Below are 23,334 nucleotides of genomic sequence, written 5' to 3'. Positions count from 1 at the left end.
AGAAAGACTCCGTCTCAAAAAAAAAAAAAAAAAAAAAGGAACTGGGAATAAAGAATAAATTTTAAAGCCTGTGCAACTAATAGCAAAACATAAAACAAGCAGCAGAACATAACCTTAATTGTATATGGAGGTAGACATTCAGTAGATCTTTGAGAACCTGATCAAAACAATGTGAACCAACAAAATGTGACCTCTTCTGTTGAAGATAAAATAAGCAACGATTGGTTGTTAAAGAAGCAGCAGTAAGACTCTCAAAACTAACTAGTAGAATAAAACCAGAGTCCAGATTTCCAACTCCTATTCTGTCATCAAGAACAGTGACCTCAAGCAAAGCCAGTATCTTCATAGCCCTCCGTGATCTTAGCAGTAAGAGGAGCAGTAGAATGGCACAGTCATGTGGAGATGAATATGATGAAAATGATACGGTGTACGTATATTTCATGCAGAGTAGTGAATGCCAATCAAATCATTGTGATACAAATTTAAACAATAACTCATCAAAAGACATTTAGATTCATATGTAATAAAACCTTGCTTTGCTTAAAAAAAGAGAGATAGAGAAAGGGTATTAACAAATGAAGTGTTGAAAGTTGAATTCTGAAGAAGAATAATTTAGGGAGGTACTAAGAGGGTCTAGATCTCATAGAAGCCCCTTGGGCATTTCCCACGTTTCAGTTTGACAAGTCTTAAATGTGAAGATAGTATAACGTGGAGTACAAGAGCCAAAAAGCAAGAAAACTTGAACTATGATAAGGGGACCCAAGAACAATTAAATACAGAAATAAAGTGGTTGTGTGATATTTTATTTGTAAACATATTTTGTTAACTTTTTCACAAAGTTTAGTTGTTTGCAAAGACTTCTTTAAATGTCAGTGTATATATGAATAACAAAGGAGAGAATGTAAAAAGAACACTAGAAATAGAAATAATTCCTATTAAAAGGTACATGTTTCTACTTTTCTGAGGGAATGATATTCCATCTACTTAATTGTGTGGATAGGCACATCCTTCTGAAGAATGAAGAAATTGCTGTATCGTATCAAGTATAATTTTGACTTGTGTCTTGTCCTGACCAAAGAGAGAGAGAAAAAAAAAAAAAAAACAAGGGGTGGGAAAAAGGAAATAGAAAGCCAATTATATGCTGATTTGCTAATGTTATTTTTCGGATTAAATGCCACTTCAAATTACAAAACCTCTGGTACTTGAAGCTGTCAGTTTTCTGAGCACTTTCTTGAGAAGTCTTGTCTTAGCAAAGAGAATGTTGAAAAACAGGGCCCCTCAGGGGGCCAAGGAAACTTTGACAGAGGTTTAACAGTCCTTGAAATTATATCCCCAAACCTTAGAGAGCCTGCTGATTCAGTGGGAAAGGACATAAACTGAGCAAGTTATAAATAAACTCTTTTATCAGAGGCGATGGTGTCATGGTGACTTCAAAGACCAAACCATGGATAGTAAGTTCTCTGATGTTCTGAAGACAGTAAGAACTTTATTATATTGGACAGGTCATTCTTGGACCTAAGCTGAAATTTGATAACAGTAGTGGGTTTTTTCCTCTATTTGTACAATTTTGAATTAATTTCTAGTCAATCAAGGTCACTAATGTGTATCATTAAATTTTAAAGTAACATGATAATGTATATTTTATGATATATCATTACTGTTTCTGTCTCACAAGAGTCAAGATTTTTCCAGTGTACAATATCATCTTACATAATACTCTCCATAGTAAAAATTTATTTTGGGTAGCAAGTTTTTGAAGAGGCACTGAATAGATTACCTCAAGTCTGTCCTGTATAACTTATAATCTACAATGTGCCTTTCTGTGTCCCATAGTAACCATGAAGGAAATAAGACAAAAGTGGGGATCTTGCTAGTTACATTGAGTTAGTGGATTCAATTCCTGTGCAGTGACTTTAGAGTCTAAGAGAAGAATGAAGATAAATGTAATAGTAGCCAAAAAATGTGTTATTGGAAAGATAAATACGGATAGTTATCCCTTGGTTAAGACAGATTTTTAAATGTTACTGGGAAAATAACATTCAAAGAACTTTTTGAAAAATATTCAAAATACAATTTAAAAAGCACTTGTAGAAAAATTTGAAGTCCAGCTACCTCAAAATACACTGTGAGGGAATTAAGCAGTTCAACACACAGAAAATACGTCATGCTATACTGAAATTGCTAGCACATAAGCAATCAGATATGAGCTGTGGCCCTCGTGTATAAGTTTATAGACTTTATAAAAGTGATACCAATAACCACTTAAAACGTAAGACTTTAGGCTTTTGTATCTACTAACATATATTAGAGAAGTAATAGGAATAAATTTATGATGACATGGCTATAACAAATATAGCAAAGATCTGTGTAGCATCTGCTTTGACTCTATTGCCAATTGGAGCCAAGTACATGGGTCTCACGAACACTTAGTGTGTGTGTGTGTGTGTGTGTGTGTGTGCGCGCGCATGTGCATTTGTTGCAAGGTAAACCTTGTAAGACGGATATTCAAAGGAACTAAAAAATTGAGAATATTGTCATTGGCAAAGGAAAAGAAATAAGTTGAAGTCTTGCCAGCATCTGAGGAAACTAGCGGAAGGGGCTTCACTCCAAAGGATACAGAGCTTCTAGTGCAGAGGTGTTAGGATCATCTATGTCAGACAAAAAAGTAAAGGAAAATAAAGTAAAATAAGTAGAAAGGTTGCACCTGTGCCTTATACCAAGGAAGCCCTTAATTTAGGCATACGGAATGGTTAAATGTTGGGCATATACTCATTAATGCTGTCCTTTGCACATTTCTAGGAGATACACACACTTTCTGCTAAAACATATAAACATCATGTCACAGCTCTCCACAGAAAAGCAGAATGGACAGAATAGCAACATTCTCACAGAAAGCATGTGAGTTTTTGACACATATTTGTTACTGCTTTAGTGTACTGAACGAAGCATGTGAGCCACTGTTCTCTGTAATTCCTTCATGGCTTTACAATGAAGCCAATGCTCTTTGTGGGCTAACAAGATGGCAGGCCAAAATTTCCAAAGAGAAGACCCACAATGTAAGTAAATAAATGAATAAAATGGTGGCAAATGTGAAGTGATCTGAAGGAAACTAAGCAAGAAGCAGAGGTAGAAAATAGCAGGGTTTAATCAATAAACTTCTTCCTAATTAAGTAATTCTTGGTCTGAGACCTTAGTGAGAAGGACGGAAGGGGAGAAGGGGAAACAGTGCAAGGGAGCAGGGGGCAAATTCCAAGAGAAAACAAGAACATTTACAAAGACTCTAAGGAAGAAGGATTGAGGAACAGAAAGACTTGTTTGGCTGGAGTAATTGAGCTTGGTGAGAGCAGCTCCAGACGACACAGGTTGGAGAACTCGATAGAGCCAGATGGAGAGAAGTGAGAATTGTATTCTAGCTGATAAAGCCATGGGAGGATTTCATGCAGAAAAATCCTGATGGAGTTTATATTGTAAAATCACGCTGATGCTCCACCAAAGAGAGCAAGCAGGGACACAAAGTCTGAGTTGCGAGTCACCTAGGGGCAAGAAGTGCTCCTTTGCCATTGCCCAGTTCTGGACCTTGTCTCCTCTCCCTTAGCCTCCTCACTTCCCAACCTATCTCTTGTCTTTTACCCATTTAGATGATTCTACACGTAAGGGCCAACTTGATCTTTCTAAGGATGGAAATTTCCTGATGTTCGGTTTTCTTTTGAGTAAAGTCAGTCATCAGCCTCACACAGAGTATCTCAAGGATATGACTGCAGCAGCCTAACTTACTAACATGGCTTGCCCAGGTGAATACAGTTTAAGGTGCTAGTGATTTGGTGTCCCAATTCAGTGTTTGGTTTTATTAAATTTTATCATGAGAGGAAAGGGAAAGCAAGAATAAGAAATTTTCCATTTAATGATAACTTGTAAATAAATTTTAAGAAAAAAATGTTCTCTCTGATTTAATATTTAAATACTATATTTTCAATTTTTCGTTATTGCCAATTATCACAACTATAAAGATGAAGGTTGATAAATCCAGAGTCATGAGACAGATAGAAATGCATTGCTATAATTAAGAACTCTGTATTCTGGGACATTGCAATATCATTTATTTCTAGGTAAATTCTCCGTCTACCTTCTAAAAATCTGAAGGCAACAGTGCTCACACCACCGCAGCATTGATGCTCACGTCTCATGTCCTTTACAATCACTCAAATTTAACCTTAAGGATTTCAATCATTAGTACGTTTACTCATACCTAATAATCTAATGAAATTTTGAAATACTTCTGGAAAAATCAGTATGTGATCAAATAGAAACATTTTCTAAGATATCCTTGAGAAAGTGACTTACTTTTATTGAAATTATTTTTTGTGGTTATGTATGTAGGAGTGAAGTGTTTTAGTTGTCTGTGTTTAAAGGTCCTACTTTCCGCACCTAGGAGTCAGTGAGCTCTCACTCTTCCCCTCACTGGGAGCCTCTCTGATCCATCTGGAATAGAAGCCCTATCAGCCCCTCCTCTTTTCAACCCAGCTTGCTGAAGGCCTCATAATATCATCAGCAATCCCAGCTGTGGCTTTCTGAACAATACTTTCTTTTGTGGTAGTTGTCAACTCTGCTTACAGTAACCAAACAGAAAAAAAAAAGAGTCCCAGATAATCTAAAAGTCTTCACTCTAAAGCAGCTCTCCTCAGCACCTGATAGACTACAGAGAAGTGGTCTACGCTGATAAATTTGAGTTGAAATAAAATGGATAAATTGTAATACCAATGTAAACAACGTGATCTTAGGTGATATTCATGTATAAATAAGGCATTTACAGTAAAATTAAAACAAAATCAGGAGCACACAAATTTTCCTTTTGACCATAATTAAATCATCTCTTCTGAATATGTATATTGTATGTAGAGGGGGACCCTGAATTAATATTTTTAGTACATTCATTATATAGAAGGTGCTTTATATTTCTAGTTAAATTTAGTTCATACAGCACTATTTTAAAGTTATCTTCTTTTTATAAACAAGGAGTAAGACTTAAATAAGAAATTAAAAGAGTTTGAAGCCAAGGCCTGTAGCATATTTTCACTTCTGTGTAGAATAAGAAAAGATTTCCAAAAACCTTCTCATTGATATTTTTGAATAGGTCAAAGGAAGAGAGTATTCTTTGCGCAATATTAATCTTCAATCTTTGTCATGGTATAAGCCCATCATACATTACAATATGCAAAAAAATGTATAAGAAGATAAGCTTGCAGACTGTCATAAATGGATCCAAACATCCTAGAAGTTAGGGTAAAATGATTCTCCTTTTACATTCAAGTAAACAAAAACATAAGCATTCATATTCTTCCTTTTTAACTTTACTGTGATACAATTAATCCTGACTAAAGCATCTATTTAATTGACTTTAACATATCATAGGAAAAATGCCAGCTAATTACTAGGTAAATTTGAGGGACAACAAAATAAGCTTTGGTGGCTAGTTTTTCACTTTTTTAAAAAATTATTTATCCTCTGTGCCCATTTATTTAAGAGCTTAAGCACATTGAAGGATTAATGACTTAGTTATTCAATCATTGGTTAGTGGTTCCAGAAATAGATACTGCCCATTGAAAACCCATAGTACAACTTATTCATTATTATTTTTCTCTAAAATTAATTAAGAGTCTAATAAATAAGTTTCTGCTTTAATCTTTATTTTAACAATGAAATACATATTTCTGAATTGCACATGTATTTCTATAAATAGTACTCACTATATGCAGATATATATAAGAATCAATAGTAAAAGAATGAAATACCTGGTTTTGATTTTTAAAAAATAAGCACAAAGCCTTAAACTTACATTAAGTAGGGGAAAAAAAATCCACTCCGGTATCCAGTGCTGGGTAGAATACTCCAGGCTCTACACAATACACTATTAATGGGGGACGAAAGGGAATAAATGGTGGAAATTTCAAGAAGATATCCTAATATTGACATCTATAAAACAAACAAACTCAAGCTTCCTAATCTTCTCAACATTAATTGAGTCCTATTATTGCAATTGTTATATTGTTTATGTAATAACTAGAATTTAGGACAATGATACAAACCTAACAATTGTGAAATAAAAATTTTAGTTACTAGTTTGTGATAATTTCATTCCATTGTTGCCATGTGAACACCAGTGAGTCCTTAGGTATTTAGAATTATCTCCCCAATGTTTTGCTGTGATTTTTACAAACTAACAATGACAGTAGATTCAGAGTATGTTTAACAGTCACTTTCTATAACAAATGACAAACAGATCCTCAAAGATCTCTTATATTAAAAATAAAAGGTTTCAACCACCTCAAATCCATTAGGATGACTACTATCAAAAAAAAAAACCCACTGGAAAATAATAATGTTGGTGAGGATGTAAAGAAATTGGAAGCCTGAACCCTGTTAGTGGGAATATAAAATGATGTAGACACTTAGGAAAACAATATGGCAATTCTCCAAAAAAAAGAAAATAAATGTACTATGTAATCAAGAAATTTCACTTCTGGATATATACCCAAAATAATTGAAAGTAGGGTCTCAAAATGTTATTTATGTAGCTATGTTCATGGTATCATAATTCACGATAATCAAAAGGTAAAAACAACCCACATGTCCATCAATGTATGAATGTATACACAAAATGTGGCATACATATGCAATGGAATATTATTTAGTCTTACAAGGAAGGAAATTCTAACACACGCTACATCATGGATGACCCTCAAGGATGTTACACTAAGTGAAATAAGCCAGTATAAATAATACATGATTCCATTTATATGAAACACCTAGAGTAGTGAAATTCATAGAAATGCAAAATAGAATGTTGGTTGTTAGGGGCTAGTGGGAGGAAGGAATGGAGAGTTGTTGTTTAATGAGTACAGAGTTTTAGTTCTGCAAAATGAAGAATTCTGCAAATAGAGAATAGTGATGGTTGTACAACAATAAGAATGTACTTAACACTGCTGATCTGTATACTTAAAAATGGACAAGATGGTAAATTTTGTATTAAATGTATTTTGCCACAATTAAACATAATAATAAATAGAAAATAACAGATTTCAAAATTCAGGACTACTTGCTATACCATGCATTGTACATCGTTATGGGTATCTTCAGGTTGCTAATAATAGTGAACATTCTTTGAGTGCTTTCTACGTTCATCAGTTACATACATCATCTTCTTTAGTTCTCACTCCAGAAATGGGTACTATTATTATCCCAAGTTACGGTAGAGAAACTAAATGACAGAAAGGGGAGTTGCCTGCCCAAGCTCACACCCATTGATGGTGAAGAATAGATTTGCATCCAAGCCTATTGGCCTCCCAAACCCATACCACTAAGGAAATTCTGATTTACTCAGGTAATTGGGGTTTTTTTTTTAAGTGTAGAAAGAAAAGTATACAGAGACATGCACTTTCCTTAATAAAATCATTTATACCAAATCTTCCATGAGAGACTTTATGTATTCATTTGTTGATAAATGTATAAGAATTTTACTCAGTATTATTCATGACACTCACAAATGAACATTTGGAAATGCAGGCCTTGCTGATCCAGTGCTGGGCTGGCAATCTGGTGGTCTGGGTAGTTGATATTTGTGCTTCTATTGCTGACATCACAGCTTTGGATATTTCTGAATCTCAAATTTTTCATTAGTAACATGGGATACTTTCATCTTTCACCTACAGTATTGTGTATTGGAAAGTGCACTGCCGTCAGAATCAAAATACTTCATTTTAATTTTAATCGATATTAGTTATGTTACTTTGGAAATATCACTTCTTCAAGTCTTGCTTTGTTACTACAAATTGAGGGCTGTGTACAATCCTTTAAGGTGCATGTTCATAATGTTATTTCAACAAAATAATATAAGGATTGATTATAGTCACTATCTTGAGTTACTTATTATGGTTTGATATAAATTAGAATTCAATATATTTCAAAATTAATACTGAGATATATAGGTGAATAAATACTGCTTCCCAAAATAAAACCTAAACAGTTTTACCAGAAAACATTTTTACCATGTTGATTTTTTAATAGGATAATTTTTATATTTATTTCTATCCTTAGAAATACCACCAGGAAAGAGAAGGAATTTATTAGCATGGTATTCACTTTCTTTCTTTTCCCCTTGCATATCACGATGACGTTCCTCATTCCATCATTCTATCACCATCTTGACAGTCTCCAAGCAATATTTCATCCTTCCCTTTTCATCACCATCCTTATTTTGTACATTCCTTCAAGAAGCAAAAACAACTCTCTCCTCTCAAACACAAATAACTTAAGAAATTCCTATATTTACACAAAGTACAGCCTGTTCCACTTCTCATCTTGACATCTTGCATTTCCATGCAGTTCCATTTTTCTTGTTGAATGTGGGAAACTTGGTTGCCCCCTGTTTCAGGACACATTTCTACTTAGTGTCTTCTTCATCCTCTGTTTGCAGTGAACATGATATTCGCTAATCAGTGAAGAGACATTAAACTATAAAAGGATGGTCCTCTCAAGTCTTCTGCAGGCATTTCCTCAGAGAGCTAAGGAAAATATCATGATGACTTTGATGAAGACGTAATTTGTTAGAGTCTTTAGAATTTGCAAATGGTCAATTCAGTTCAATATGTGTAATGTCTCTTGAATTCCTCCAAGTTTTCTCTATACAGTGCATGGCTTTATTTTTAATTAAATATAATCCTAGTTCAACTTTTTGACCAATATTACTTGTTATTTAAATTAAACCTTAAAAAACAAACAAAAATCCTTCCATAAGAAATTCATTCTCTTATACAGTTAAGTACACACATATATATACACACATATATACATATGTACATATCTATATCTTGCCATTAAATCAAACATTTTAGCTAATTTAATGTTGGCCATCTATTTATACAAGTTCAAAAGTGCAATTTTGAGGGCAAATTAAAGATTTGTGAGTAGATCCTTGCAAATTCAGAAGACAATCTATGGTTCGCCCTACCCAGAGAAAAGTTACTAATTCATAGAGTGAGCTCTTGTGGAAGCATGTTAGTTGCCTGCACAATTGCATAAAAAGCTGTCCCTGCCACTGTTACTCTCACTTGCAATCTTCCCTCCCACAAAAGAATGAGATTGGTAGAAATTTTTCTTCAAAGGTGAAAACATTGGACCAATGGCTTCAACTACTCTCTCAAATTCTTTTTTCTAAACTGCTATAACCAAATTCTCTTCAATTTTAAGCAGTACACATAAGCACATAAGTTAGAAAATTTGTTATGTAAAACAAGACATGGGAATTGTTTGGAAGCAGTTTGACTAAATTTTATATTACAACCCATGTTATTCTGTTAGAAGGTCAAAAAAAGAGTCTTGGTATATTTATATTAAATATGTATTAGATTATGTAATGATTGCACGAATAAGATTTGAACAAAATGGCTTCTGATATTCTACCTTCTTTAATAGAAGAATTAAGCAAATTAGTGAAATTGCCAGAAACATATAAGGATGCTTTTGATCCTTGCACAATCTCAAAAATGACCTCAATGTCAGCAGTGTGAGAGTTCAGAAAACATAGGGTTCAAGCAGCTTAGGAATTGGTAACACTAACAATTAGGAAGTACTGTAAAAATAGTTTCCTTCATTTCAGTTGTAAAACTTTGTAAAAGATATGTATCAGAGTATCCATGAGTATGTTCAGTTAATAAGAAAATCTTAAAAAGAAATGAAGACATCTATCTTATAAGAGCCTGCACAATGTCTCCAATTAGGTAAATCCTCTCATTACATTTCTATTCTTTAAAACCTATTATACAGTCACTTAGATAATTATTATCAAAACAGGCCTCTCAACTGATTTATCTAGAAGAATGGTTCTTATCTTCTTTTGGAAACATAGTACTTCATATTTTAACTTTTCTCAAGGACCTTAATTGTCAGCAATTTGTCACTAAATCATCTGCAAAGGACACCACAAAAAAAGTACAGATAGGAATTCTGGGCAGATTAAGCATTTTAATTAGTCATTCACTTCTGCTTTCAATGATTTCATAGCCAGAGGATTTGGCTTTCAAATGTTTCAGTCTGATATCCTCCATGTCAGAATACTTACTCCATGAAGAAGAAAAAGAATACTTAAAACATTAAGGTGCAGAAAAAGATTGTTTTGAGGTGAAACAATTAATCTCACTTTCTGCCTGGACTAGATATCACAGTGTGAACTGACACTAATAAACACTTGATTACAAAACAGAGAAGTAATTGTTTCCCATGTTTGCCTGCATGCAAATATTTTCCCATATTAAAGTATTGTTCCTTAGTTTTACTGATTTTTTTTCTCCTTTCACCTCATCAGTAACCCTACAGCTAACAGAACCATTTATAATGTTTTTCAAATTGATAACTGCTTTACGTTTAGGCTTACAAAGTCATTTTCTCTCTGTGGTTCCTGAGAAAAGTCACATATTCTCTACAAACTCCAAGGAATATTTATTGTAGAATCATGTAGAAAGAGTAGTTGTTTTCTTGTTATACAAATAAGTTTAAGAACTAAAAATATAATCCATTGCATAGGTAAAAAGGGTTTAACTTAAGAACAATTGTTTTCTGAGAACACACTGCATTTTCTGTAAGTGCTTTGATGGCCACCAGTCTCTCATTCTGGGTGGGTTGCATTCCACTGCTGATGTACTTAAGTTTTGTATTTCATTCAAATGTCACTATTAGGGTTGTTGGTTTTTCAATGTTTTAGTCTTGGAGACCCAACAAATCTGCAGCCAATGAAAACTCATTTTTTTAGTTTCGTGCCCAAAATATATCATCATGTAACTTAAAAAGATCATACTTTTATTGCAATATCAGATGGGCTAAGTTTGTTACCTCCCAGCAGATTAACCTCCAAGTCTGTACCAATTCATTAAACATGCACATCAGTCACCGTACTGCAGCATAATTTATTGCTATTAAGCACTTCTGTGTTGGGGAACCCAAATGAGATTGACCATTATCAGTGCTGTTAATGGTTTTCTGAACAGTTGCCAGTTCATTCACCCCACCAACCCTTCAATAATAAAATAATTTTGACAAAGGGCCCATGTTTCAACATTTTTAATAAAAACAAAATAGAAAAACCATCAGTAACTGTGCAGTAAAGTTTCCTCTCTCTTTCTTCCTTGCCAAAACTAACAGAAAAGAAAATGTCAGTCTGGCTCCTTGCCAGAAAAAGAGGAAATTGAATGGTCTCAGTTCTTATTCTTTGACTAGTAGCATTGTGTACATGGAATGCTTGGCTCTTGGGTTCATTTTGACAGAACTGAAATAGAGATAAGAAGTTTTGAGGACTCCATTCTGCAATTTATAGACCTTCATTCTGTTTAAGATCTTTCAATACCACATAACTAATCAATGTGATTTAGAAAATAACGTTGTGTCTGCCACTGACATAAGCCATATGTGAACTGCTAAGCTACTATGCAAGCCACAGCTATAAATTTTGGTCACTTGCAGGAGAATCCTCATTATTTGGGGCATCAAAATAATTCAAACCATTATCGTCATCTTGAATGATGTCTCACTAAATTGCTGTCTGGTAATGAGCTGAAAGGTTTCTCACACTAAGGGAAGATAAAGCTCTTTTGAAATAAATTTCCCAGGTATTTTATTCAGAATGATAGGACCATGGCCTCTGTTTAAAAAAAACAGACTCTGATATATTAAAATCATTAATGTCCCATTCACATATACAGTGACTATAATCTAAGGAATACAAATATTAGATACAGACAATGTTCTTTTCAGACAGTAGAGCTATTAATTACAAAGACGCCAAAAACATACATATATATGTGTCTATATATATATATGTATATACATGTGTGTATATATATATATTAAGTGTGGAAATTTGTTCTTCTATAAAAAACAAAATGGGTTCTTCCTAAGCTGTTAAACTTACTCCAAATATCCTACTGAGAAGAAATCAGAACTGCCATCATTTTTGCTGGAAATAGCTAAAATAATGTATGTGGCAAAAAGGGTACATGAAATAGTGACTTTGTCTGTAATTTTCTACTTGTTACCCTCGTTTTACAGTGCATACAAACCATAGTACTGGTATGGCTTAGCCAGTGGGAATCTAATCTCACATAAAAAGAAATCTAAATTTTTAGACCCTCTTCAGATTTAGTCAATTATTCTATGTTTCTGGTATATGTATAGATATTTTTTAAACTGTATAGAATCAGAAAGTATTTTTAACATAATTCACTATTAAGCTTCATTTGTAAATATGGGAGGGGAGGAAGCTGTGAGATTAGACAAATAAAATGAGATTAGAATAATGAATCAAATTCAAGACTCCAAAGAATACTCAAGGGCTATATTCTCAAAAGCCATCTTAATTGGAGTTCTAGTCTCTCTCCATTTCTTCTTTTCTTCTCTTAAAAGTGCAGCTACACCCAAAACTGGTCGGTTCTTTTCCATTTGCACAGAAAGTCATTCAATTCAGCCAATTTCTAAAGTCAGTCCAAATCCACCTTCATAATAACTACAAAAGATGTATTTAATTTTTCATAGAAATTATTTTTATTCCCACATTGTAGGAATGTTGGGTTCAAAATACACATTCAATTAAGTTTAAATATCCATATAATCATCATAAGGCTAACAATAATCAATAAATTATCTGTTTTAAGATTTTTTATTTTTCAAAATTAAATACTTTCAGATGATTGGGTATTTAAAGATAATTCCTTATTTAATATGAAATACCAAATATGGTGGTCCAGAATTCTTGGTTTGAAAAATAAATATTGTCAAAAACTAACCTTATGAAATACAAAATAGATACTGAACTGGGATTTTAAATTAATGTCTATCCTTTTATCTAAAAAAAGATTTTTCAAATTTAAAAATTGCATAGAACACAATTCAAAATGTCATTTGCCCCAGTTTAAAAATAATAGAGAAAAAAGTTAATTTTGTCTACTAATTTCATATAATACATAATGTAAAACACATATATAATGTTTGTATTTATTTTTATTTATTTATTTATTTTTTTCATATAATACCTTGCATTAGGAATGGAAGAAGAAATTTATTAGAAGCCTAAGACATAGATCACTAGATGAAAGCATTTACAATACATTAAAGAAAATAAAAGAAATATCCATTAAGAGTCCTTGTGACATTTGTCAAATGGGAAATTTTAAGGTTAGTTATGAATTGGATTTAAGGTAAGAAAGAAAAGGATTCAGCTGTCAAAGGTGGAGTAGTTTTCTAGAGTGGAATGTGTGCAATAAAAAGCAGAAGGTTTGAAGGTGCACCCCACAGGTGGAAGGGAGAGAAGCCAGACAGAGTAGTCATCACAGCGGAAGCTGAGTCAAGTTACCAATTAAGAGAAGTTGAAATAAAACCTGAGTGGGAAGTGGTAGTTTTCTAATTATAAATATCCTCAGTTAGGATATATTATAGAGGGTAATGCCACCAAATAGAGATGAAGTGGTATATGATTGGTGTGGATTATATTATCATCTCATTTTTAAATGAATGGTCTCGTGCTAATGTTGGGTTTGAGAATCAGAAAAAAAAGTGGGGACAATACTTGATTAACTTCTAGTTTGGGGGAGAAAATGTAAATAATGCTGAAATTATTACCATGAGATTTTTTACATGGCACTGAATGACATATAGATTAGAAACAATTTACGAAGAAAGGAACCCCTTAATGAAAGGACTGCAGTTTAAAACCAATTATCTATGAGTTCGTAGTGCTTACATGCCTCCCTCTCTCTCTCTCTCTCTCTCTCTCTCTATATATATATATATATATATATGTAAAATTTCATTTAAAATATCCCATTGAGCTATATAATATATAACATATACACATATATATGTATATACACTTACATACATATATACTATGTATGTATATGTATGTGTGTGTATGAATATAATATATATTATATATCTTAATGGGTTATTTTAAATGAGATACTAATACAGGTTGCTAGATTACAGTAGAATAAAGAAAACACAATCCCATGATGAGGCAGGATCCTGCAAAACATCATTCATGCCTCATTTGCTCATTCATGCCTCTGGAAACAGAGAGTTGGTTTCCCTAATCCCTGTTTTTCCAACCCTATCCAATCATGTTCTAAGCATAAGAGTACTACAATGTCAATCCCAAGATAATGGTAGTTGCAAGACCCGCTTCAGAGCTGCATGAAGGAGCTGGCATGGTGAGCTGGTTACAGAGAATACAGACTTTGCTGAAAGGGTCTATCTGAAATTTGGCTGACAGGTGGCAAATGAACTTCTAAGAGAAGCAAGACGGTGATGAAAAATTAATTAGATGCTAACATGTTTGATTTTCCTTCCTCCTCCCCTCCCTCCTCCCTCCTTCCCTCCCTCCCTTCTACCTTCCTTCCTTCCTTCCTCCCTTCTTACCTGACTTTCTTTCTTCCTTTAAAATTTCTTTTTTCTTCTGTCCCTCCCTCCCTCCCTTTGTTCCATTTCTGATAGGAGACGTACCTTTAGCCACCAATAAATTTTCAAGAAAAAATTTGAAGCTGCTGACATTGAAGATTACCAGATTCTCCCCTGAACCTTCAGTATACTTAACTGAACTGACAAACATTTTGCCTATGATCAAATTAGACAAAAGGATCAAGACCACTGTCATTACAGTTTTTCCCTTCTGTTTAATTTTAACATAACTTCTACACAAATGAGATGAGGTGAAGAGAGCATTTGTTTTCATTACCCTGTACCTAACTGAAGTTCTCAGTATTCCCTCGCATTTTGTCTGCCTCACAGATGTTTAGGCCAAGGACAGCAGAGTGGATCTGTGATGTTCACAATATCCATGAAATCACAAATACACTGTAGCACCAATGAGATTTCAAATCACGAATGCACTGTAGTATCAATGAGATCTAAAAAATTAAATGTGTGAAACTTAATTTATCCACCCCAGAAGGATTAAGAGCAGAGTTTAGTCTGCCAGGGTGCAAGACTTTGATTCCGCAGAGTCTAGGTACGAAAGACTTGTGCTGAACTCTCCCTCCAGATACAATTATGCAAGTTGTTTATGGGGAAAAAAAAGCTATCATAAGAGTCACAATTTTTAATCATTATTCTCTTTTATGGGTGTATAATTTTCTGGGTAAAAATGCTCTGGTTTGTCTGAAATTTTCTTCTTTGGTATTTCACCATTCTTTAAAAAGACTTGGATAAATAATGGATCAGCTTCCTTAGAACTAAGATTCTATTTTTTAATTACAAAATACTTAAAGGTTTAACATTTTTATTTTGAGGCTGAAATTTGTATTGCCATTGTATCTCACCTCTCCCCGGCTAAACTATTTCCTCTTCCAAGGTAAGTCCCCTTGAAAAGTTACCACAGTCTTTTCTCGTTACTAGACTATTTTAACTTTAAAAAAAAATTTAAGCATTTTAAGAGAGAATGTGGGGAAAAAATAACTCACAAACTATTAACCTGAAAACTTTACTCCAAAGGAGCATTCTTTCTTATATTCAGTGAATTCGGTATGTGTATGTGTCTTTCCCCAGTTTAATTCTAATTTCGTGATGCCAAGGTCCATCTGTGATGTCACTGTTTCTCCCATGACACCAGGAACAGTATCCAGCATGTGTTAGGTCCTCAACAAATATTACTGATTCCCTCAAATCCAGGAAGATATCTTACTTTCTTGAAATTGTTTATCATTTATAAGTTGACTTCAATTTTACTAAACTAAATAACATTTATGGGATCTGAAAAAATAAACTTAAAACACATGGGACACGTGAGACTGGAATTTTATTGCAGATTTTGCAAGTAAAAGATAAGCAAATAAAACCATGCAATTAATTAAGAGGAAAAATTGTCATAAGTCTTATATAGGTGCAAGTAACTGTCGGTTGTTGTTATAAATGGAAGCAAACGGAAAAGAAAATAACCCAAGCTGGCAAATCATCCTAGGAAAGCTTGTACTTTGAATCAAGCAATTGTGTTTTTACACTGACATTTGACTAAGATGGAATCTGCTGCGCTGGGGATCCACTCCAAGGGAAATAATAATGTCCTACTGTAAAGACACCACACAGGAGGCTCAATAAAGTTGTTCAATGTCTTCAACCTTTTTCCTTCTTCGCATTCCACCCCATGCTGGGCATATATCATTATGGAACAAATTCACATAAAATTTTTCCTCTTGCACTTGGCCCCCAGAGTATTGCAAGTAGCTCAGTTTTCAAGTTTCAAAAAACTTTTGGTAAAAGCTAAGGCAGAAATGACAACAAAAATGTCACTCAAACACATAATACACAGTCAATAATTTTTGCCTGAGGAGTCACTAGCAAATATAATGGTTAGTTATGACTGTAATGCATATATTTATCCCAGATAATATGAGATTTGTGTGTGTGTCCTAGTCTTGGATGTTCACTGGAATGAAAGTATTTTTTTCTCACAGAATCTTTTTTGGAAAGCTCATTTCACAATCCTATGCCAAATATATTCTTTTCAATATCTTAAAGGTTTTACTTATTATCACTGGAATTAATAATCACAGAAGCTGCAAGTAATTAAAAATAATTTTCACAATAAAATTAAACTATACTCCAAAATTTCTTGACAGCCTCTGAAACACAACAAAGGAATTTATTCATTTTAATGTTCTTATAAAAATAGAAATTAAATTAGTCCCATAGAAATATGAACAAATTTTAAACAACCCCCCATGACACACATTGATCTATGTAACAAACCTGCACATCCTGCACATATAACCCTGAACTTCAAAGTTAAAAAAAAATGAACAAATTTTAAATTAGACATTTCAACCTGTGCTATTTAGACCTGTGCTATTTAGACAAACTTTACGAGATGCAAATGATAAAAAATAGGCTACCTTCTCTTTGAATCAACAGACAGTGCAAATACCAAGAAGGTAGAGGACAAGTCTGTTCATTTCTCTTCTCCACACTCCAAGCCCAGAACAGTGTTGAATGAATTTTAGAAGTATTTATTACATGAATGAATGAATATTCCACAAACACATCAATAGGTTTTTCAGGGAGGCAGAGATGAGATGAAGGAAGTTAAAAAATCTGAAGACCTTATCTCAATATTAAATATTCTCTCAGTTACTAAAGCCAATCTCTGGAACCTTGAACTAACATGCATTTGAGTGTGTGTGTGTGTATAAATGATATCAGTCAAGCTGATTGTGACCCAATCACAACTTCTCACCCTTATTTTACAGGCAGAGAACAGAGATTATTTATTATTGAATATATTGTTCTCTTTATAACATTTGTATATATAGGTTGAGTATGTCTTATCCGAAATAGCTAGGACCAAAAGTGTTTCAGAGTTTAAAAATTTTTTAATTTTAGATTATTTGCAAATGCATAATGAGATACCTTGGGGATAGGATCCGAGTCTAAACACAAAATTTATTTATGTTTTACATACATCTTATGCACAGAGCCTGTAGGTAATTTTATTCAATAGGCTTAATAATTTTGTGCATGAAACCGCGTTTGTAAACATTAAACCCTCAGAAACAAAGGTGTGACTATCTCAGCCACCCATGAGGCAATCTGTGGTTATTTGGCATGACCATCATTCCTGACTCTGAATTTGTATGCTACCTATAAGCCATCATTTTCTTATACTTATTCACACATAAGTACTTAACAGTTAAAAAATGACATACTATTAATACAATGATAAAAACAATGTGTTCAGGATAATGAAGCAGCCCAGTAGTATGACCAGAATACCTGTATCAGCTATCAAACAACAGCAACAACAAACAATGGCAGGCTTTCAGTCCCCACCTACAGTGCTGTGCTTTGATGAAAAGGTTGCTGTGCACTGTATTTTTTTTTTTTGTTTTTTTTTTTAGGTGAGAAGAAACATCAGAAGCAGTTGAGGGACCAGGAAGTGGGTCCTGCAGGGATGAGGAAGCATCCTCCCGGATGGCTTTTTTAAATGTTTCCTCCAGAGTCATCTGCCTCATTAACAATGGTTTTGTTTTAGAGAGCTCTTTGATTTTATCCGCTTACATCATTTATTTTTCTGTTACAAACGCACACTGCTCTAGTCCTTCAAAAAGACCACCACCACACATTTTCACATTTCACCATGCCATTTATAGACTCTTTTTCTACAGTTAACAATGTCATTTTCATTGTCACTGTTATCTCAATCACCTTGATTCAGAACCATTCCCTGGCTATTTCGCCATCTGTTAAGGAATTAACAACCGGAGCTTGATTATTGATGTTAAAAACTTCTTCAATATTGACTTCTGCCAGCTTACTGATGGACTTCGAAGGTACATTTTTTTTGCCTATTTAAGGAGGTCAGACAGTATTTCTTTCTCACTTGGCATATGAAATCCTTCTACATCGCCACCTTTTTCATCATCATCACTGAATACAGTTTCAGGCCAGATATTGTGCCAGGCATGCACAACTGTGTCTTTAGTCACTGTGTTCCCAGCATTTGCAACAGCATATACAGCACCCTTCATGCTAAACTTTTTTGAAAACCTTCCACATGCTCTCCTCTGTTCACTGCTACTAGCGTGCTGTTTGAGAAGGTGTTTTTATGTTTACTCTTCAAGGTATTTATATTTACTCTTCAAGGTATTCTTCTAAGAATATGTTGGTCACATTGTTGAATTAATACAGTCACATTTGGAGGAAAGTACATGGGATAAACGTTATTTTTGATGAGAATTTCAGCTGGAGGATGAGTGGAAAAGTTGTCGAGGAATAAGAAAATCTTGCAGTTGTCATCCAGTCCAGCTTCCTTGCAGTAAGCACAAGCCACTGGTATAAAATGCTTGTGAAACCCACCAGCAAAATGGTCTCTGATGATCCATACCTTTGGGTTAGCATAATAACGGGCTAGTAAGACATTCCCTCCTTGAGAACAGCAAGGGTGCAAAAGTCTGTCTATCACAGCCAGTTTACACTTATGAGTGCCTACTGCATTAACACATCTCAGCACAATTATTTTGTCCATGGCATCCTCAATTTCTATAAAGGCTGTCTCACCTGTTGTAATCAGTGTCTTTCTGCGGTAAAAAAGCCAAAAGCGTGATGTAGTCAGTGTCTTTCTGGGGTAATAAAGCCAAAAGCATGAAGTCTTATCAGCATTATATTTTCATTATATGTTCTGGTGTCATATTTTCATCATCAATGGCCTTGGCACACTCATCAATGAATTTCTCTGGTGTTTTATGATGAGCAGCTGCTATATACCTAATGTCCTTAAAATTTTCATGTCATGTCTTTTAAAAAAAATTCTGTGGCCAGTCTGTTGAATATTCACAGTCCCTTTCAATTTTCAGTTTATTGTGATAGATCTTTTCTTGTTTTACCATCAGTATGCAAGAAAGTGGATGTGTTCACTGCAACACTTAGGGTTTACTCTTTCAATACATGATTGAGATCTTCATTTTTAACTTTATGTAGTGTTTCTCTATCTTTCACTAACTTCTGTTCATCACTTTCAGAAGAACTTCAACGGTGTATCCTTCTGTTTCTTCAGGTTATATACAGGAGTCAGTCCAACACCATACTCTTCTGTAAGACATTTCACACTATACCATTGTCTAGTTTCTTCAACAGTGTGACCTTCTGTGCCATAGATCAACATAAGTTCTTCCTCTTTTTCTTATTCCTGTTAGCCATTGGGGTATGTACACACCTTTTTGACATTTTTAACAATATATTTACACCACAGAGCAGAGAATAAGCAAAAAGTACAGTGAGCAATGTCTGTAGGTCTTGGCCCCATGTGGGGCATGAAGAAGACCCTGCTGTTGGCTTACCCGGCCTGCACACGTGCCATTTTATTACCCTTTGTGGGTGTGCTTGCATGGAGGAATCTGGGCGTGTGGGAAACAGATCTATCACGGCTGATGCGGGCTGGGAGGGTGTTTTCTCCCTTGGAGATGCTGAATAAATTGTGTGTTGTGTGCCTGCATTTTAATATGACCCAGCACATGAGGTATAGTGTGAAATTTTTCACTTCTGGTATCATGTCAACACTCAAAAAGTTTCAGATTTTGGAGCATCTCAGATTTCAGATTTTTGGATGATTCAGATTTTGGATGAGAAATGCTCAACTTGTAATGCTGTAATATTGACCATCTTATAAAATAAACAAGCAAACAAAAAATTCTCCAGGCCCTAAGTATCCCCCACAGAACTTCTCCATTGCTGTTTTCCTTTCTAAAGAAACTCCTGCCTGCTCAAAATATACCTATATTCACTCTCTCCAGTTTCTCACCTCTCCTTCTTTATTCCACCAACTCCTGTTGGGTGCTCATCCCCACTCATTATGGAAACCATTCTTTTAAAGATCTCCATGGATGTTCTTCTGGCCAAAGCAACTGATCAATGTTCAATATTCATTTTAAATGATCTCTCTGCAGTGCTGAACACGGAAGATCATCCCCTTCTTCTTGGACACTTTGTGCTCCAAGGGTTCATAGTCCCTAATTTTACTTCTTCCTCAGTGGCCAAGGCATCGCAGGCTCCTTTGCTGGCTCCTTCTCATTAGAGTTGCCTGTGTAACATTCAAGTGGATATGCCCAGGTAGATAATCCAGTCCTCTGTCTCATTCACATGAGCTCACCACATTGGCTATTTTGCTCATCCTTGAACTGGCCAATTTCATTCTGGCCTAAGAACTTGTTTATTTGCTGTCCTCTCTGCTTAAACCATTGTTCTACCAAATAGCTACATGACTCATTCCTTTGCTTCATGCATATCTCTACTTAAATATCACTGTGGAGAGGCCTGATTTGATGTAGCCCTTTTCTTCATGGTCACTGCAAGGACCCTGTTTCATTTTCTTTATAGCATGTTATTAATAATGGCATGTCACATATTTATTCATCTCTTTGTTTATTGTCTCTCTACTAGAATATAAGACCTATGAAGTCAGAAACTCCATCTATTTCATTCACCACCACTGTGTTGGTATCAGAAACAATGTGTGGCATACTATGGAACTCCCTAAATGTTTGTTGAATGAATAAATAAAAAAGAATAGCATCACATTTAAGATGTGGTGTCAGTATATTCCATGTTTTGATATGCCACTAACCTACCTTGACATACATATTCAATATAAACATTTTGACATCTACAATCTACCTTGGAAATATTCTGAGCAAGGTACTGTGTATATGTATGTGGGTGTGCACACTTATAAGTGTGGAGGAGGGGATGTATTTCTACATTATATCCCTCAAGGAACTTACAGTTTATTTGTACACAATTTAATTACAACATGAGGCAATATATGGTAGATGTAACAGATGAATTTGTTTATTTGTTCATTTATTCAACAAATATTTGCTGATTATCTCCAAAGAGCCTACACTAAGAAAGGCAATAAAAAGTGGGAAGAAACAAAAAAGCAAAGAAGAGAAATGATAGGAAATAGGTGGCAGTATTTTAGATAGGTTAAGACTTATGCAAGCAGCAGGTTGAAATTAAAAGAGTTCATAATAGACATGACACAAAGGAGATTTTACTACATTAAAAATACAGTAAGGAGTAAAAATGAACTGAGTGACATTTCTAAACAAAAGCACCTGAAGAAGTATAGGTGGTGAAATACCCCATGTAAAGAAGCATTTGCTTCACTCACTCCGTAGAGAAGGATGATATTTTTGTTCAGACTACATAGTATGTAGCAAAGATGTAAACTGCAGAAAATTCATTTCAGGCATGAGGGGGAAAAAGCCAAACACCAGGGAAAATACATTCCAGACTACGACAAGCAGATCAAATCGCATAATTTTATGAAATAGTATGTGGAAGCATCCCACATATCTTTTTATCCTAGATTTTTTTTAGGACCAAACTAGTAAAGTTTTCATATAGAATTATTGTCTTGTTTTGAATCTGTAATGGTAGACATTACAGAATTGTCAAAAGAGGTTAACTTCAATTTTTGGCTATTTACATTCTTACGCATTTTAAGAATCACTCCACATGAATAACTGACTTTAACTTTGAAAAGCTTCTCACTTTGAGAAAAGTGTTAGGTATCTTAGAAAACCACAAAATTTATTTGTGACTGTATGAGAAATACAGTGCTCAGTATTTTTTTCACTGGGAATGTTTGTTTGTTTGTTTGAGTGCTAAATAAAGTTTCATAAAATGGTTGCCATATGGGTCTGGGATAATGTCTACTGCTTAATTCTTTCTGAATATTTTAGATCAATTATCAGTCTTTATAAATAAATATGCAGACAATTATCAAGACAAAAGTTTTTTTCAGAACTAACTAAAACATTTTAAAAATTTAAGGAAGCTGTTTATACTTTATTCAAATACATGGCCAAACACTGTCTCAGAGATTGTTCGACTGGGGCTTTGGTTCTTCTTAATTCACCTGAGCACTGATTTGTTTGCCTTCAGTGGCTATGAATGCCAGAATCCTAATATTATCTTAGAACACACTTTTGTAGTTAATATTCAATAACTATATAAAAAGAAGAGCAGCACCTGTCTGCAGTGGGGAAGGATTAGGAAGACCTGGACTTAACAGACACAGAAAGTGGGTTCAGAAGCAGAACGCCCATAAATTCACATTTTATTAGCCTGGTTCACATCCTGCTGGACTCCTCTTTCACTCCACAAGAGAAAATTCCTGTTTACATCTATAATCTCCTTGGGACCATGGAGGAGTATGAATTGTGCTCTATGGAAAGAACCAAAGTCATATTTGGGAATAATAAGCTTAATATGACCTGTGAGGGCTGTACATTTACTAATCTAAATTCCTCTTAAGAGATTTATCATCCTCAGTCCAATGAACTTCAACAGGAACCTCCTGTGATCATCAGTTACTTTAGTATTCTACAGTTAATAAACCAACAAAACTGATAGTGGAGTATGGCTTAAATTCTTATTTTAAAAATAAAGATAGACCAGCATGGCTAGAGCATGAAGTTATCTCTATTCTCTCAATGTAACTGGGTCTCTGAAACTTAGATATAGAGTGTTGTTAAAATATGTCTTTGTTAAATAAGCAAATACTTCTATTCATATGAATTCTATTTCGTAGGAGACTGAAATTAAACAACTTGGAAAAGTAATCTAATTAGAGGAAGCATAGAATGTAAAACTCAGTGTAAATGTCAAAATATTCTATCCAAGCTCTTATCAGAAATAAAGACTCTGTCTTACACTGAGTTATAAGAATATGTGGTCCTTAAAGATGTAGATGGTATAATTCAAATAAAATATTATAAACATATCATCCAACTTTATCTTTAG

General features: G+C 34.2%; 1 long non-coding RNA gene across 1 annotated transcript in view, besides 1 other annotated feature; it reads right to left on the bottom strand.

Moving 5' to 3' along the window:
- Positions 1,287–1,487: a silencer, noted in NCBI's record as "peak6419 fragment used in MPRA reporter construct". NCBI's record gives its function as "represses an SCP1 promoter by STARR-seq MPRAs in K562 erythroleukemia cells {active_cell/tissue: K562}" and the evidence as "EXISTENCE:reporter gene assay evidence [ECO:0000049][PMID:32103011]".
- LOC107986773 (uncharacterized) overlaps positions 4,167–23,334 on the bottom strand; it is a 34,550-nt gene continuing 15,382 nt past the window's right edge. The window contains exon 3 of the long non-coding RNA XR_001745109.2: positions 4,167–5,905. This is a non-coding gene — a long non-coding RNA (uncharacterized LOC107986773). The remainder of the gene's footprint in view (positions 5,906–23,334) is intronic.

The sequence above is a fragment of the Homo sapiens genome, chromosome 7, assembly GCF_000001405.40.
Source record: "Homo sapiens chromosome 7, GRCh38.p14 Primary Assembly".
Taxonomy (NCBI): Eukaryota; Metazoa; Chordata; class Mammalia; order Primates; family Hominidae; genus Homo; species Homo sapiens.
The sequence above is the reverse complement of the archived record's forward strand: the minus strand, read 5'-3'. Positions and strand labels throughout refer to the sequence as shown.